Here is a 15,937-nt window from a genome sequence, read left to right as displayed (position 1 = left end):
AAGAGATGCACCTTAAAGTTGAAGACTATGTATATAAATCTTCAGTTACTAATTGGGACTGATACTAAAAATAACTATTGCAGGTGCCAATACCTCCCAACACAAGTAGTTTCGGTACTGAGACTATCTCTGAGGACTTAAACACCAACTTTATCACATTTACATACGTAATAATCACCCTGTCCATTCTCACACATCTCTACTTGCTGGAGACTATTTTTCTTTATATCTAAAATGCTTTAGCACCTTTTCCTATAAAAGGCATATTTTTAGAACTCCACATTTTTTTTAAAGTAAAGTTTTATTTTCCTACAGTCCAACCGTGTGTGTTTAGGAAGGTACATGGGCCTAGAAATTCTGAGAAAATTATAGTAGTTGTTCTTTGCTGGGGTGCTCTCTTTCACTGATCCCTTTTCTTTCTTTCTCAATAACTCTCTTCATTTACATATTATTGCTTTAAAGGACCTTCAAAATATTCCCTCCTGACTATAAACTAGAAGCTAAATATCTGGTCACTCTGAGGCAGGAAAGCAAAAGAAATAATTAACTGTTAACATTTTATCCATGCAATAACAACAACAATAAAATACCTTGTTTGTGGATTAAAAGGCAAAGTCAATCCTAGAGGTTGCCAATACTAGTTACAAGGTATAATTTGACAGATAACACCAGGTCCAGACTGTAAGAAAAATACAGTCCAGATTCCAGAAAACATGGCCACCCTCTGGGGCCTGAGACATATAGCAGGGAAAGATTCTGTCCCTGACCTCTCCCCACCTAGCCCACCAAGGAATGGGGAGCTGTGGAAGGCAGAGTCAGGGCTGTAAGCTGGGCCTAGGGGAGCCAGGACTAGCACTTAGAATGGGACACAAAGAAGATGGTGCAGAGAGCAAGGGGACTAGAGGCCAGAGGTTGGCCCAGAGCTGCTTCCTGAGACAAACCAGAGGGAACAATAGACAGCAAAGATAGCTGAGCAATTAGGAGACCAAAATGAGGCGTGCGCTATGCAGACACGGAGCTCTGAAGACTGGAGGAAGGCTTCCTCCTTTTCCCACTGAGCAGGCCCCGGATATAGCCAGCGGGTATTCATATTGCTGCTCGGAAGCAACCCATCTCTCCTGGAATTTGATAACATAATCTCCACTCCTCTGGTCACCCTCTCCCTTCCCTCATTTCCCTCTCTCTATTGGAAATGGCAAAACAATGAAGGGGAACATGTAGCCACAACATAAAAATGTGGACAAAAATATTTTAAAAGTGAAGAAGATAGACTTAAATATACAGATGTGGATACATAGACTGCCCAGTGACCCCATCTCGGCAGAAATTCATTCTTGCATGGAATTCCTGAAGCCAAAGAAACAAGCAGTTGGTGAGACAGCATCCCCATGGAACAGAATAAGGCTGCCTGCTGCAAGGTTTGGCAATTCAAGAGGTATGGGGGGAAATGTACCCACAGCAATGTTCTCTCTCAAAAGATGTAACTTTGCAGTGTTGCTGTTTTTCCTGTTTTCTGTATTCTATGTTTGGCTGGCAGTGGGAGGGAGTGGGTGTCAGAGAGAGAAGACTGGGCTTTGGAGAGACAAGACAGTTGGCTTGAAAATACTGCTGAAAACTGTGGGGCTTGTGGATTTATTTTTCTCTCCTGTTCCATTCCTAACGGAGGAAAAGAGGAAAAGGCTGTTCCTGACGTGGAAAGGTGGGTCAGATGGTGAGGTGACCAAATCAGAGGGTTTGGCCACACTTCTGCTTCTATCCCTGTTAGCATAGTGCTCTTTCAAGTCCTTTCACCCTGTTTTGGTCACATATATCTCTGTTGCCTGAGGTTATGCCTATATACATCTGTAGGAAGCCCACAGCCTCTGATATAAGAGCAAAGGTACCTGACCCTCTTAAAGACGATGCTCCTGCTCCCTTTCCACCTTCCCAGACTCTGGACTCTTTTTACCTTAGACCATTCATGCTGCTATAACAAATGCTTTACAATGGGTGGCTTATACATAACAGAAGTTTATTTCTTACAGTTCTAGAGGCTGAGAAGTCCAAGATCAAGGTACCCACAGATTCAGTATCTGGTGAGGGCTTCAATTCCTGGTTCACAGATGATCTTCTCACTGTGTCTTTATATGGTAGAAGGAACTAGCTAGCTTTCTAGAACCTCTTTAAAAGGGCACTGATCACCTCCCAAAGTTCCTGCCTCATAATACAACCACATTGGGAATTAGGTTTCAATATATACATTTGGAGGAAACACAGACATTCAGACCATACTGCTACTTGCCCTGGGTTTTACCTTAGTTAACCTCCCTGGGCTTGGTCCACAGATTATGTGGAACAGAGTTTCTCAACAGTAACACCATTCACATTTTGCACTGGATAATTCTTTGCTTGTGGGGCTCTTGTGGGTTGAATTCTGTCCCTGCAAAAAGATATGCTGTAGCTCTAACCCCAGTACCTTAGAATGTGACCTTATTTGGAAATAACGTTGTTGCAGATATAATTAGTTAAGATGAGATCATACCGAAATAAGGTAGGCCCATAGTGTGGTATGACTGGTGTTCATTCATATAGAAAGATGTCCAAATGAAGATACAGACATACAGGGAGAGCAACATGAAAGCTGAGGTTGGAGTGGTGCAGCCACATGCCAGGAAACAGCAAAGCCACTAGCAAGTCACTGGAAGCTAAGAGAGAGGCCTGGAACAGATTCTCCCTCACAGCCCTCAGAAGGAACAACCCTGCTAACACTGCAATCTCAGACTTCTAGCCTCCAGAACTGTGAGACGATAAATTTCTGCTGTTTTAATCTGTGCGGATTGTGGTACTTTGTTACAGTAGCCACGGGAAACAAACACGGGCTGTCCTGTGCACTGTAGAATGCTTAGCAGCATCCCTGGAATCTACCCACAGGATGCCAATAGCAACCTCTTCCCCAGATGTAATAATCAAAAATGTCCCCAGCTACTGTCAGATGTCCAGGTGGGGTAGAAGTCGGGGGGAGACAAAAATTGCCTTCCAGTTGAGAACCACCATTTTAGACCATAAGACCATAGAGGAAGCTGTATTGAGAAAGATCATACAACCTTCCCAGTTTACAGTATTTTTCTGATAATCCTTCAGATGGCAGAAACCTTAAGGAATCCTCTAATCCGTGGTTCTCACAGGACAGGGGGAGGAGGTTAGGGGGTTGAGGGCCAAGGGGTATGAGGGATAAAGAAAGGAGCTTGGAGGGACAATGCAGGGCCCAGGCTCTGCTCCAGGTTATGTAAATTAGGATGGGCTGGGGGAGGGAGTTGCGGGAATGTCTGGCAGCCACATGTTTTAAAAGCTCCCAGGTGACTCTAATTGTAGCCACTCATCTACCATTGAAACCGCTCATCCAAGGGAAGGGCTCAAAGCCTGGGCTGAAATTCCAACATGAGAGAAATCTAGTCTTTTGCCTTGAAATTGCTCAGAACTTAGGACAGTGATCTATTTAACACTTTGTTTGGCAGTTTAAAAATAGTAACTGTGGGTTATAGAAATGAAAACCAGAAATGACCAAAATGCTCAACAATACAGAATAGTTCACTACACTGTGATAACACGTGATAGAGTATTACCCACTCACTACAATTATGTTTTTGAAGAATATTTAATGAAAAATAAATAATAAATAAAAAAATAAATAATAAAAAAGTTCTTAATGTAATGTTAAATGAAGAAGTCAGAATAAACCAAAGTATGGTTCTAATTTTATTACCAAAAAAACTTACTACTGATAATGATAATGATTATGCTATTATATTATAGATAAGAAAACTGAGGATTAAAAATGTAAAAGAAGCTCACATAAATAGTTGATGTTGATCTGGAATTCACATTTGTTTGATCCTGGGCAAAACAATCTTAGTATTCTGCTGTGCTAAATGGAAATTTATCAATAAATATTAATAATGATTATGTCTCAGTGATAGAGATAAATTTTCTTTTCCACTATTTCCTTGCTTCCTAATTATTCCATGGTGAATATGTATTAGTTTCATAATTAGAAAAAATGGAAAAAATCACTTAAATATAAAAATTATATGCAGGGCATTGTTTAGAAATTACTCCAATGAAGAAAATGTGGTACATATGTACAATAGAGTAGTATTCAGCCATAAAAAAGAATGAGATCCAGTCATTTGCAAAAACGTGGATGGAACTGGAGGTCATTATGTTAAGTGAAATAAGCCAGGCACAGAAAGACAAACATCTCATGTTCTCACTTATTTGTGGGATCTAAAAATCAAATCAATAGAACTCAGGGACATAGAGAGTAGATGGAAGGTTTTTAGAAGCTGGGAAGGGTAGTAGGGAGTTGGGGGTAAGGTAGGAATGGTTAAGAGCTACAAAAAATAGAAAGAATGAAAAAGACCTACTATTTGATAGCACAATAGGATGACTATAGTCAGTAATAACTTTATTGTATATCTTAAAACAACTTAAAGAATTTAATTAGATTGTAACTTAGAGGCTAAATGCTTGAGGGGATGGACACCCCATTCTCCATGTTGTGTTTATTTCACATTGCATGCCTGTATCAAAACATCTCATGTACATCATAAATATATACACCAATATGTACCCACAAAAAATTTAAACATAGTAAAAAATTTTTTAAAGAAATTATTCCAAAAAGTAAGCAGAAACATTTGTTTTGCAAATGTTTCCTTATTTTTGTAAGAAGAAAGGTGTGTAAGACTATTGGTAGGAAGGTAAATTAGTATAGCCATCATGGAAAACAGTATGGAGTTTCCTGAAAAAAATAAAAATACAATTACCATACAACCCAGCAATTCTGTTACTGGATATATATCCAAAGGAAATGAAATCACTATGTTGAAGATATGTCTTCACTCTCATGTTTACTGCAGCACTATTCACAGTAGTCGAGATATGAACTCAACCTTCAAGATATGAACTCAACCTTCGTGCCCATCAGTGAATAAATGGATGAAGAGGACAAAGGGTCTTCAAAAAGTTCATAGGAAATGTGTAGTACTTAAAAGGAAACTATGCATGGATTTCAACTTTTTTACACCAAAATAAACTCATACTAACTTGTCATAACATACCTGAACAGGAAGTAGTTTGAGGTACTAAGAAGGATAAGACATCAGTTTCAAACAGCCCCAATCAGAGCAACATGAATTCTGCTAAAATTGAAGCAAGGACAAACATCAAATTTATGGTGAAGCTTGGGTGGAAGAATGGTGAAATTATTTATGCTTTATAAAAAGTTTATGGGGACAATGCCCTAAAGGAATTGGCAGTTTATAAATAGCTAACTCATTTTAAGAAGGAGTGAAATAATTTTGAAGATGAAGCCCGCAGCAGCAGACCATCCACATCAATGTGTGAAAAAAATTAATCTCGTTCATGCCTATGATTAACAGCAGAAATAATAGCCAACACCATAGACATCTCAGTTTGATCAGCTTACACAATTCTGACTGAAAAATTAAAGTAGAGCAAATTTTCCACTCAATGGGTGCCAAAATGATTGCACCCAGATCAGGTGCAGACAAGAGTAGAGTTTTTAATGGAGATTTTAAACAAGTGTGATCAAGATCCTGAAGTATTTCTTTGAAGAATTGTAAAAGAAATGAAACATAGCTTTACCAGTATGATCCTGAAGACAAACACAATCAAAGCAATGGCTACCAAGAGGTGGAAGTGGGAGCCTGTCAAAGCAAAAGCAGACTGGTCAAGAGCAAAGACCATAGCAACGGTTTCTTGGGATGCTCAAGGCATTTCACTTGTTGGCTTTCCGGATGGCCAAAGAATGATAATATTTGTTTACTATGAGAGTGTTTTGAAAAAATTACCCAAAGCTTTAGCATGAAAATGCCCAAGAAGCTTCACCAGACAGTCCTTCTCCCCTAAAACTATGCTCCTGCTCATTTCTCTCAGCTAAATACGGTTATTTTTTTTTTGAGAATTTTGATGGGAAATCATTAGATATCCACGTTACAGTCCTGATTTGGGTCCTTCTGGTATCTTTTTTGTATCCTGATCATAAAAAAAATCTTAAAGGGCATCCATTTTTCTTGAGTTAAGAACATACATTGACCTGGTTAAATTCCCAGGACCTTTGGTTCTTTAGGGATGGACTAAATGGCTGGTAGCATCACTTACAAAGGTGTCTTGAACTTGATGGAACTTATGTTGACAAATAACGTTTATATATTTTTTTATTTTTAATTCCATTTTCCATAAACTTTTCAAAGTGCTGTCATATATAGACAATGGAATACTATTCAGCAATAAAATACAATAAAATGGAGTACTATTCAGCAATAAAAAAGGAGATCCTGTCATTTTTGACAACATGAATGGACCTAGAATATGTTATGCTAAGCGGGATATGCCAGGCACAGCAAGATAAATACTGCATGATCTCACTTATATGTGGAATCTAAAAAAGTTGATCTCACAGAAGCAGAGAGTAAGGTGGTTACCAGGGGCTGGGATAATTGGGGGTGGTGAGGTGGGGGGTCTTGAGGCGGGGGAGTTGGGGAGATGTTGGCCAAAAGATACAAAATTTCAATTAGATAGAAGAACATGTTCAAGAGATCTATTGTACAACATAGCATCTATAGTTAACAATATATGTATTCTTAAAAAATCCTAAGGGAGTAAATATAAAGTTCCCTCACCACAAAAATGATAACTATGTGAGGTGATGCATCTCTTAATTAGCTATACATTATTCTTCAATGTATATATATTTCAAAACAACATGTTGTACATAGTAAATACATACATACATGTTTCTGTTGATTAAAAAATAAGAAATTTAAAAGAAAAAGAGAAAGATGTGCAAGATAACTGATTACCTTGGGAGTCTGAAATTGGAAAGTGGGAGTGGAGGAATAATTAGCTCTTTACACATCTTTGCAATGTTCCACTTGTTATTACAATAAACAAGACTTTCTCCAAAATTTGAAAAACACCAAAGAAATTTTAAAAGGGAAAGATAAGGATTCAATATAGTTTTGTCAATTGACAGGTAAAAATGTGAGTGCATTTAGAAATACAAATAAATTTCATTACAAATATATTTATCTTAAAGATGAATGCATTTTCTAGTTATGTAGAGCCTGAAGACACGAATGCTTGGAGAAATACAATAAAATAGATTGGTGTAAGGCAAAGGACAAAAGAGTGTCCTCTCCCTCTCCCTCTCCCTCTCCCCACGGTCTCCCTCTCTTTCCACGGTCTCCCTCTCATGCGGAGCCGAAGCTGGACTGTACTGCTGCCATCTCGGCTCACTGCAACCTCCCTGCCTGATTCTCCTGCCTCAGCCTGCCGAGTGCCTGCGATTGCAGGCACGCGCCACCACGCCTGACTGGTTTTGGTGGAGATGGGGTTTCGCTGTGTTGGCCGGCCGGTCTCCAGCCCCTAACCGCGAGTGATCCGCCAGCCTCGGCCTCCCGAGGTGCCGGGATTGCAGACGGAGTCTCGTTCACTCAGTGCTCAATGGTGCCCAGGCTGGAGTGCAGTGGCGTGATCTCGGCTCACTACAACCTACACCTCCCAGCCGCCTGCCTTGGCTTCCCAAAGTGCCGAGATTGCAGCCTCTGCCCGGCCGCCACCCCGTCTGGGAAGTGAGGAGTGTCTCTGCCTGGCCGCCCATCGTCTGGGATGTGAGGAGCCCCTCTGCCTGGCTGCCCAGTCTGGAAAGTGAGGAGCGTCTCCGCCCGGCCGCCATCCCATCTAGGAAGTGAGGAGTGCCTCTTCCCAGCCACCATCACATCTAGGAAGTGAGGAGCGTCTCTGCCCGGCCGCCCATCGTCTGAGATGTGCGGAGCGCCTCTGCCCCGCCGCCCCATCTGGGATGTGAGGAGCGCCTCTGCCCGGCCGCGACCCCGTCTGGGAGGTGAGGAGCGTCTCTGCCCGGCCGCCCCGTCTGAGAAATGAGGAGCCCCTCCGCCCGGCAGCCACCCCATCTGGGAAGTGAGGAGCGTCTCCGCCCGGCAGCCGCCCCGTCCGGGAGGGAGGTGGGGGGGTCAGCCCCCCGCCTGGCCAGCCGTGCTGTCCGGGAGGGAGGTGTGGGGGGTCAGCCCCCCGCCCGGCCAGCCGTGCTGTCCGGGAGGGAGGTGGGGGGGGTCAGCCCCCCGCCTGGCCAGCTGCCCCGTCCGGGAGGGAGGTGGGGGGGTCAGCCCCCCGCCTGGCCAGCCGCCCCGTCCGGGAGGGAGGTGGGGGGGTCAGCCCTCCGCCCGGCCAGCCGCCCCGTCCGGGAGGTGAGGGGCGCCTCTGCCCGGCCGCCCCTACTGGGAAGTGAGGAGCCCCTCTGCCCGGCCAGCCGCCCCGTCCGGGAGGGAGGTGGGGGGGTCAGCCCCCCGCCCGGCCAGCCACCCCGTCCGGGAGGGAAGTGGGGGGGTCAGCCCCCCGCCCGGCCAGCCGCCCCGTCCGGGAGGGAGGTGGGGGGGTCAGACCCCCACCCGGCCAGCCGCCCCGTCCGGGAGGTGAGGGGCGCCTCTGCCCGGCCGCCCCTACTGGGAAGTGAGGAGCCCCTCAGCCCGGCCAGCCACCCCATCCGGGAGGGAGGTGGGGGGGTCAGCCCCCCGCCCGGCCAGCCACCCCGTCCGGGAGGGAGGTGGGGGCGGTCAGCCCCCCAACCCGGCCAGCCGCCCCGTCCGGGAGGTGAGGGGCGCCTCTGCCTGGCCACCCCTACTGGGAAGTGAGGAGCCCCTCTGCCCGGCCAGCCGCCCCGTCCGGGAGGGAGGTGGGGGGGTCAGCCCCCCCGCCCGGCCAGCTGCCCCGTCCGGGAGGGAGGTGGGGGGGTCAGCCCCCCGCCTGGCCAGCCGCCCCGTCCGGGAGGGAGGTGGGGGGGTCAGCCCTCCGCCCGGCCAGCCGCCCCGTCCGGGAGGTGAGGGGCGCCTCTGCCCGGCCGCCCCTACTGGGAAGTGAGGAGCCCCTCTGCCCGGCCAGCCGCCCCGTCCGGGAGGGAGGTGGGGGGGTCAGCCCCCCGCCCGGCCAGCCACCCCGTCCGGGAGGGAAGTGGGGGGGTCAGCCCCCCGCCCGGCCAGCCGCCCCGTCCGGGAGGGAGGTGGGGGGGTCAGACCCCCACCCGGCCAGCCGCCCCGTCCGGGAGGTGAGGGGCGCCTCTGCCCGGCCGCCCCTACTGGGAAGTGAGGAGCCCCTCAGCCCGGCCAGCCACCCCATCCGGGAGGGAGGTGGGGGGGTCAGCCCCCCGCCCGGCCAGCCGCCCCGTCCGGGAGGGAGGTGGGGGCGGTCAGCCCCCCAACCCGGCCAGCCGCCCCGTCCGGGAGGTGAGGGGCGCCTCTGCCTGGCCACCCCTACTGGGAAGTGAGGAGCCCCTCTGCCCGGCCAGCCACCCCATCCGGGAGGGAGGTGGGGGGGTCAGCCCCCCGCCCGGCCAGCCGCCCCGTCCGGGAGGGAGGTGGGGGGGTCAGACCCCCGCCCAGCCAGCCACCCCGTCCGGGAGGTGAGGGGCGCCTCTGCCCGGCGGCCCTTACTGGGAAGTGAAGAGCCCCTCTGCCCGGCCACCACCCCGTCTGGGAGGTGTGCCCAACAGCTCATTGAGAACGGGCCAGGATGACAATGGCGGTTTTGTGGAATAGAAAGGGGGGAAAGGTGGGGAAAAGATTGAGAAATCGGATGGTTGCCGTGTCTGTGTAGAAAGAAGTAGACATGGGAGACTTTTCATTTTGTTCTGCACTAAGAAAAATTCTTCTGCCTTGGGATCCTGTTGATCTGTGACCTTACCCCCAACCCTGTGCTCTCTGAAACATGTGCTGTGTCCACTCAGGGTTAAATGGATTAAGGGTGGTGCAAGATGTGCTTTGTTAAACAGATGCTTGAAAGCAGCATGCTCGTTAAGAGTCATCACCAATCCCTAATCTCAAGTAATCAGGGACACAAACACTGCGGAAGGCCGCAGGGTCCTCTGCCTAGGAAAACCAGAGACCTTTGTTCACTTGTTTATCTGCTGACCTTCCCTCCACTATTGTCCCATGACCCTGGCAAATCCCCCTCTGTGAGAAACACCCAAGAATTATCAATAAAAAAATAAATTAAAAAAAAAAAGAAATACAATAAAATATACAATCACAAAACATATAAAATGTCTCTGTAGCCCCATCAGACATTACACCTTTCACAGTTTGGACTTTATGACATTGCTTATCATAGCTTAGAAGAAACATGATGTTGGTATGACACACATATGCAAAAAAAACTCACTAAAAATGATCACCTATGAAGTCCTAGAAATTATTCTCCCTAGGCACAATGCCAGCATTAGTTATTCATAACCCTGAATTGTTTTCCTCAGCCATCAGAAGTAAGAAACATGTCAAATTTGAAAGTACTTAAAAGTGAAGCAGGTGCTCTGATCACACCCCTAGAGCCTATGTCTGAAGTGGCACTGTAAGTTTTGGTTGAAAGCCTTCCCTATCACCATCATATAAATGTCAAAAGCCTTAGTGTCATGGCATAGAACTAACAGCAGCACAGAATGACAGGCAGGGAGTCTGGACCTTGGGTTCCTCCATGTGTGAAACTGACAAGCTAATATAGATTTAAATGCTTAGGCCTTTTAAATGAGAATTAGCAACACAAACATGGAGTAATGCAAAGTGAAAGGGATAACAGGTAACACTCAGATCTAGAAGAATCATCCTCTCTTGTCTAGTCTCATTGGTTCACTCTAGGATTGGGCTATCAGCATGGCTTTAGAAAGCCAAGTCCACTTTTATCTCACCTTCCTCAGGTACACTGTTAAAATCATCATCATCATCCAGCAGAAATGTAGGTGTCAGGCACACGGCTGCTCTAGAGACTGTATAGTAGCTGATTAGGCCCCGTGGAATGCAGACTAGCCCTAGAACCATACTGTAGTGTTGGGAGAGACACAACAGTGAGTAGAAATAGACAAACTTAGCTTCTGCAGTGGCTCTCAGGGTGTCTCTGCTCATGACTGGGATTTGTGGACATTGCCATAGGTACCCCCCTTCATTTTTAAAGGGGTGAATTATGTTCAGAATGCTCAGTATATAAGGCATGGAAAAACATAAACTGTATTTCAGAGTTCATCATCAATAAAAACAAAAATTGACAAGTTTCTCCTTGAGGTGCCTAGGGTTAAGTCTTGGTTCTCTACACAATTAAGTTATATAGACCCCAAGGACATGAAAGAAATGAAGGGTGACAGTAGCACAAATTAGCAATATAATGCTGAGGTCATACTTGGTAAAGGAGTGACCAGGGCAGGAGGGATAAGGCTGGAGAAATTTTCAGGAAGTGACTTTTTGAGCCAACTTAAAAGCCTAGAATGTGAAGCCAAAGAGTAGTCTACTAGGAAAGGGAATGGCAGGGGCAATAGTACAGATTTGGAAAGCTCACTGTGGGAGCACAGCAGAAGTGTCTAACAGCTCTCCAGGCAGAACAGCTGTCCTCAGAGAAGCACGGTTTGAGAGTCAGAGACCCCAGCTGCAGTCCTCACTGTGGGATAAGCCCTAATGAGTGGCTGTCTGGTGTGGAAAGCTGGTGGGAGGGAGTCAGAGGAGAGAAAGACAAGAGGAAGGAGACCTATGCTAATGACAAGGCCATCTGCACACACTTCTCAAACAGGGCTGGATTGGGAGATTTGCTTTAGGACAAAAGAGACACCACATAGCCACTAAGGACTGTTCACCATGCACTGTCGGCCAAAACCCAGGGCCATCTGGGACCTCTGGCTCCCCACTTTCAAAGCAGGAACATGTTCTTCCCACTTCCTTTCCTTAGGAGATTAACTGAAAAGACATAGCCATTGCAACATTTCCTCAGAGCAGAGAAGCTGCAGGAGATCAAAGTCTCCCCACATAAAGCTCTTCAGGGAAAGGGCAGAATCCAAATAGCTGAAGATTGGACCATGAGACAGGGAAGGGTCATGAGGTTCAGGCTCCCATCCCATCATTCAGCTAATTTTCTGAAACTCTTGACTGTTCCTGACATTCACAGGCCAAGAGCTATCTTCCATGACCACAGACTATACCATAATCCTCACAGTCACAAAAGCCTAGGCAAGAACCATAAGTAATTCCATATGAATCCACCCTCCATATGAGAAAAAGAAAATTAAGCAGTGGTGTTAATGTGGATGGTGACATAATGAAACAAGAACAAGCTGGCTTGGAGGCAGGATCTACCTAGGCATAAATAAGTTCACAGAACCCCCAAAACGTAGATATAAGAAGCACTGTAGCACTCCCTTGCTGTCTTGAAGTGGGGCAACACTGCTTGCTGTTGAGAGGTCACTGGGCAGGGCTGCCCATTTTTCTCTGATTAGAAGGGCAGGGAAAAGAAACTGATGGAGAACTCTAAATGCAAAGCATCATGCTGTTTCCACTTACAACTGCTTTTGCCCCAAAGTCCTACTGACCTAAACTTATATAAATAAACATCAGAACAGGGAGAGATTTTGCTCATTAAATCATTAGCTTTAGCTTTAGAATGTGGAAAGTTTCCTGGCTAATCCTGCTACACATGGGAATCTGGCCCTCAAACAGTGAAAGAAGCCCAGGGCATCAAGAGTTCAGTTAAACTCAGAGACTGGTCAGCACATTCCCTCTCTTGGGAAACTCCTGGGATGGGGCAATATCATCAATCTCTTCTATATCTTTCTTCTTTTCTGGGTGTGTTCCAGACATGATCTCATCCACTGTCACCATATCCCCTGAAAAATAATGATGGCAATTTACATTTGCTCTGTGCTCTAGACTTAAAGTACTTTTAAGTACATTATCTTACTGCATGCCTACTTCAACTGAAATGGAATAGATATCATTCCCATTTTGTAGACATAGAAACTGAGGCTTGGCAAGGTTAGGGGAGCTGTACATATAGGTGGGGTAGCTCTGGCCTCCCATCCAAATATTATAATCCCTGTATACTTCTCACTGGATCTTGTTGCTTCCCACAAGGAAGAAATGCAGGAAGAATCTGCAACTCCCATTTTGTTGATGGGGAGATTGTGGCACTAATTTTTCAAGTGATCTTTGTGTGAGGCATAGAGTGAAGAAAGGGAAAATCTAGGAAATTATCCTTAGTCCAGGTCATCTGGCACCCTGAAGTCATGATAAAATGTAGTTTCTTGGAGTAAATCCCAAACTTTATACTATAATTTTTTTAAAATTTATTTTATATAATAGTTGTACATATTTTTAGAGTAATGTGATATTTTGATACCTGTATGTAATATACAATGATCAAATCAGAGTAACTGGGATATCCAAACCTTGAACCTTTCTAACTTTATAAACTTGCAAAGTTTCATCAGAGTGACAGCTACAGCGGATGAATCAGACTCAAGATCTACATCCAAATAATCCTATTCTCTTAGCTGTATTTTTTTAAGCAAATGAAACTGACCTTGGGAATTCCCAAGACACTAAAGAGTCCATAGGTCAAAGCCTCCTAAAGAAAAAGAAAAATGAAACATGTCCATCATATGGATTTGGAGTTCCCATTTTAGCCTCTTCCATGGCTTCCTTCCCTTGGTGATATTTTAAAATTCTAGGCAGGTGATGAGCCAAAGTCCACCGGAGCTATTTCAATCCATATTTGGCATTGCCGAGGCTCAGATATATTGTGCAAAATAGCCCATGGTGTGAAACACCATGGAGATATGTAATTATAGCTGAAGTTGCCAGTATTTGTTTTGTTGGCTCCTAGATTGCAGCAGGACAGCTGCACCAATCTCTATTTAAATCCAAAGGGCAGTACCTTGGGCTAGCTGGGCATATGCCTTGTGCATCCCAAGACAAATAAAGGCACCAATCCTGATGAGGCTTGGATGTCCCCTGGTATCTGCAGGAGGCCATAAGATCTCAGCTCCCTCTGTCTCAAACCTGGCTACATTTCCAGGTGGAATAACTCAGATGTAATGATCTGTTCCTGTCACAACTTGAGAGTGGGCTTTTCTCCTGTTAAAAATTTATTCTGAACAAAATTGGTTTATGAAAATGCCTCCAGTTGCTCATTGGCAGAGAAAAAAGACAGATCTGCCTGGTGGGTTGCTCTTGTTGGTGATGTGTGTTTATTTTTTGGTTTGCTTAATATACTGCCTGAAGCCCTTTTCCTCAGGGCTCTTTGATGCTGGTTCCTTTCCTCATTGCCTGCACCAGCTGCCTCAGCTACCCACATGTTCTCAAATCTCTTACCCATCAGCCCCCACAACCTGATTTGCCCCCATTACCCTGAATGCCACGGCCAGGAAGTACTTGCCTCATGGAGGTCTCAGGGGGGCTGGAAAGCATTGCCCACCTCAAATCACACCTGGACCAGCAGGAAGGGATGAAGGAGGAAGAGGAAGAGGAGAAGGAGGAAGAAAGAGGCTACAAATGTTACTGTTCTGAAGCTCTCCCCACCACCGCTGCTGCCACCATCACTACTCCCCACCCCCACTGCTGCCACCATCACTACTCCCCACCCCCACTGCTGCCACCATCACTACTCCCCACCCCAGCCGGTTTTATGGACTCAGAAGGTCCTCATAGCCCTGTAATATATGCACACCTACAATGAGGAACTGGAAAGGCTTGGGAGGGTTCTTGTAAATTGCCATTCTCTGAAGCTTTCTCTTGGGAAGAAATTCCGAATGCTTGGCTTAGACCCAGCCCTCTGTCTTCAATGCTAATGTTGCTTCTCTTTACACACTTATAACTGTACCTGGTTTTAATAGCCTGTAAGTTACTAGAATCTGGAAAAGAATATAAAGTTTTAATATTAAAAATGCCACTAGCAAAGAAAAATAACATTGTAGATATGCATCTATTACCATGGCTATATCATTAAATGAGAAAAACTGGTTACTAAATGTACCTATATACACATAAACAGAGGAATAACTGGGAGAATAAACAGAAAGTATTAGCAACTGTTAGTTAGACAACCAAGTGGGTGGATTATTTCTGTTTCTTTTTGCTTGTCTGTATGTTTTACATTGAAAAATATGTAACTTTGTAATTAAACATAAAAAGATAAATAAAGTAGAAACTTCCTTTAGAAAAAAATCAGAAGGAAGGTTGACTAACCCCAGTTTTTTTAATTCCTCTTGTGTGTGTGCTAGAAGTGCAGGCTCTGAGGTCAGCCTACCTGGGTTCACATCTTGCCACCTCCACTTGAATGATCCTCTCTAAGCCTGATTCCTCATCTGGAAAATATTAACAGTAAATCTATAGAGCTGTTTCAAAGATTAAGTGAGGTATTCCTTGTAAAAGCGTGCCTTCAATAAATGATAGTTATTATCAGTTATTCTTGTATGTTTGTCTTTATAGCATAGGTTTAAAACCTTACAAATACTTTTTCAAATCTTTTCGTGAAGGCAAAATAGTCTTGTGAAATTTGCATACATTCCTCCTATATGCAAATTCATCACATGCTCCCTCTTCTTTCAGCGTAGACAAATGCTGGCTTCCCCAGCAGCAAGCACATTCCTGAGGCCCACCCTGCTCACGGTGTCACAGAAACAAAAGAAAGGGAGAAGAGAAAGGAAGTTGATTCTGCTTCTCTTAATCTGGGCAAGTTGACTTGTGTTGAGATTAATTATTGGAAGACATGGTAATAAATGGTTTGCTTTCAGAATCAATACTGGGCAGACAAGAAAGCTTTCCTCTGGAATAGCTTTCCTTGCTTCCTTTCTAAACCATGCCAATGCTCTCTGAGAGACATTAACTTTATTCTTCCTATTGGTGTGTTACTCTCACTGTGCAAGGTAAAATATGTTGTCACATTTGTGAAACTTGAGTGATTCCACTCTTTCTGAGGAGGGCCACTAGGCAGAGAATTCTTTAGAAGGGAGAGTCTGTTCTCACTTGTCTCATAGTGTCTCTCTACTTCTTTCTCCCTTTTCTGGGGCCCCATGGCAGGCTCAGCTCCAGCCCAGTGACATACACCAAAT

The 15,937-nt window shown here is 45.3% G+C and overlaps 1 protein-coding gene and 1 non-coding gene across 34 annotated transcripts in view, besides 2 other annotated features; both read right to left on the bottom strand.

Annotated features, from left to right (window-relative positions):
- Nucleotides 1–15,937, bottom strand: part of KALRN (kalirin RhoGEF kinase) — a 692,957-nt gene that overhangs the window by 350,046 nt on the left and 326,974 nt on the right. The window lies entirely within an intron of this gene.
- MIR6083 (microRNA 6083) lies at nt 1,843–1,948 on the bottom strand. Its single transcript, NR_106731.1, has one exon. It is a non-coding gene; the product is annotated as a microRNA 6083 (primary transcript).
- Nucleotides 3,094–3,622: an enhancer, noted in NCBI's record as "OCT4-NANOG hESC enhancer chr3:124091505-124092033 (GRCh37/hg19 assembly coordinates)". NCBI's record gives its function as "activates a minimal SCP1, AML or CMV promoter by ChIP-STARR-seq in naive H9 embryonic stem cells {active_cell/tissue: H9 hESC(naive)}" and the evidence as "EXISTENCE:reporter gene assay evidence [ECO:0000049][PMID:30033119]".
- Nucleotides 3,104–3,398: a silencer, noted in NCBI's record as "tiled region #1098; K562 Repressive non-DNase unmatched - State 24:Quies". NCBI's record gives its function as "represses a minimal TATA promoter and a strong SV40 promoter by Sharpr-MPRA in K562 cells {active_cell/tissue: K562}" and the evidence as "EXISTENCE:reporter gene assay evidence [ECO:0000049][PMID:27701403]".

Source organism: Homo sapiens, chromosome 3, assembly GCF_000001405.40.
Source record: "Homo sapiens chromosome 3, GRCh38.p14 Primary Assembly".
Classification (NCBI taxonomy): Eukaryota; Metazoa; Chordata; class Mammalia; order Primates; family Hominidae; genus Homo; species Homo sapiens.
Note: the sequence above shows the minus strand (reverse complement) of the source record. Positions and strands in the feature narration are given on the sequence as shown.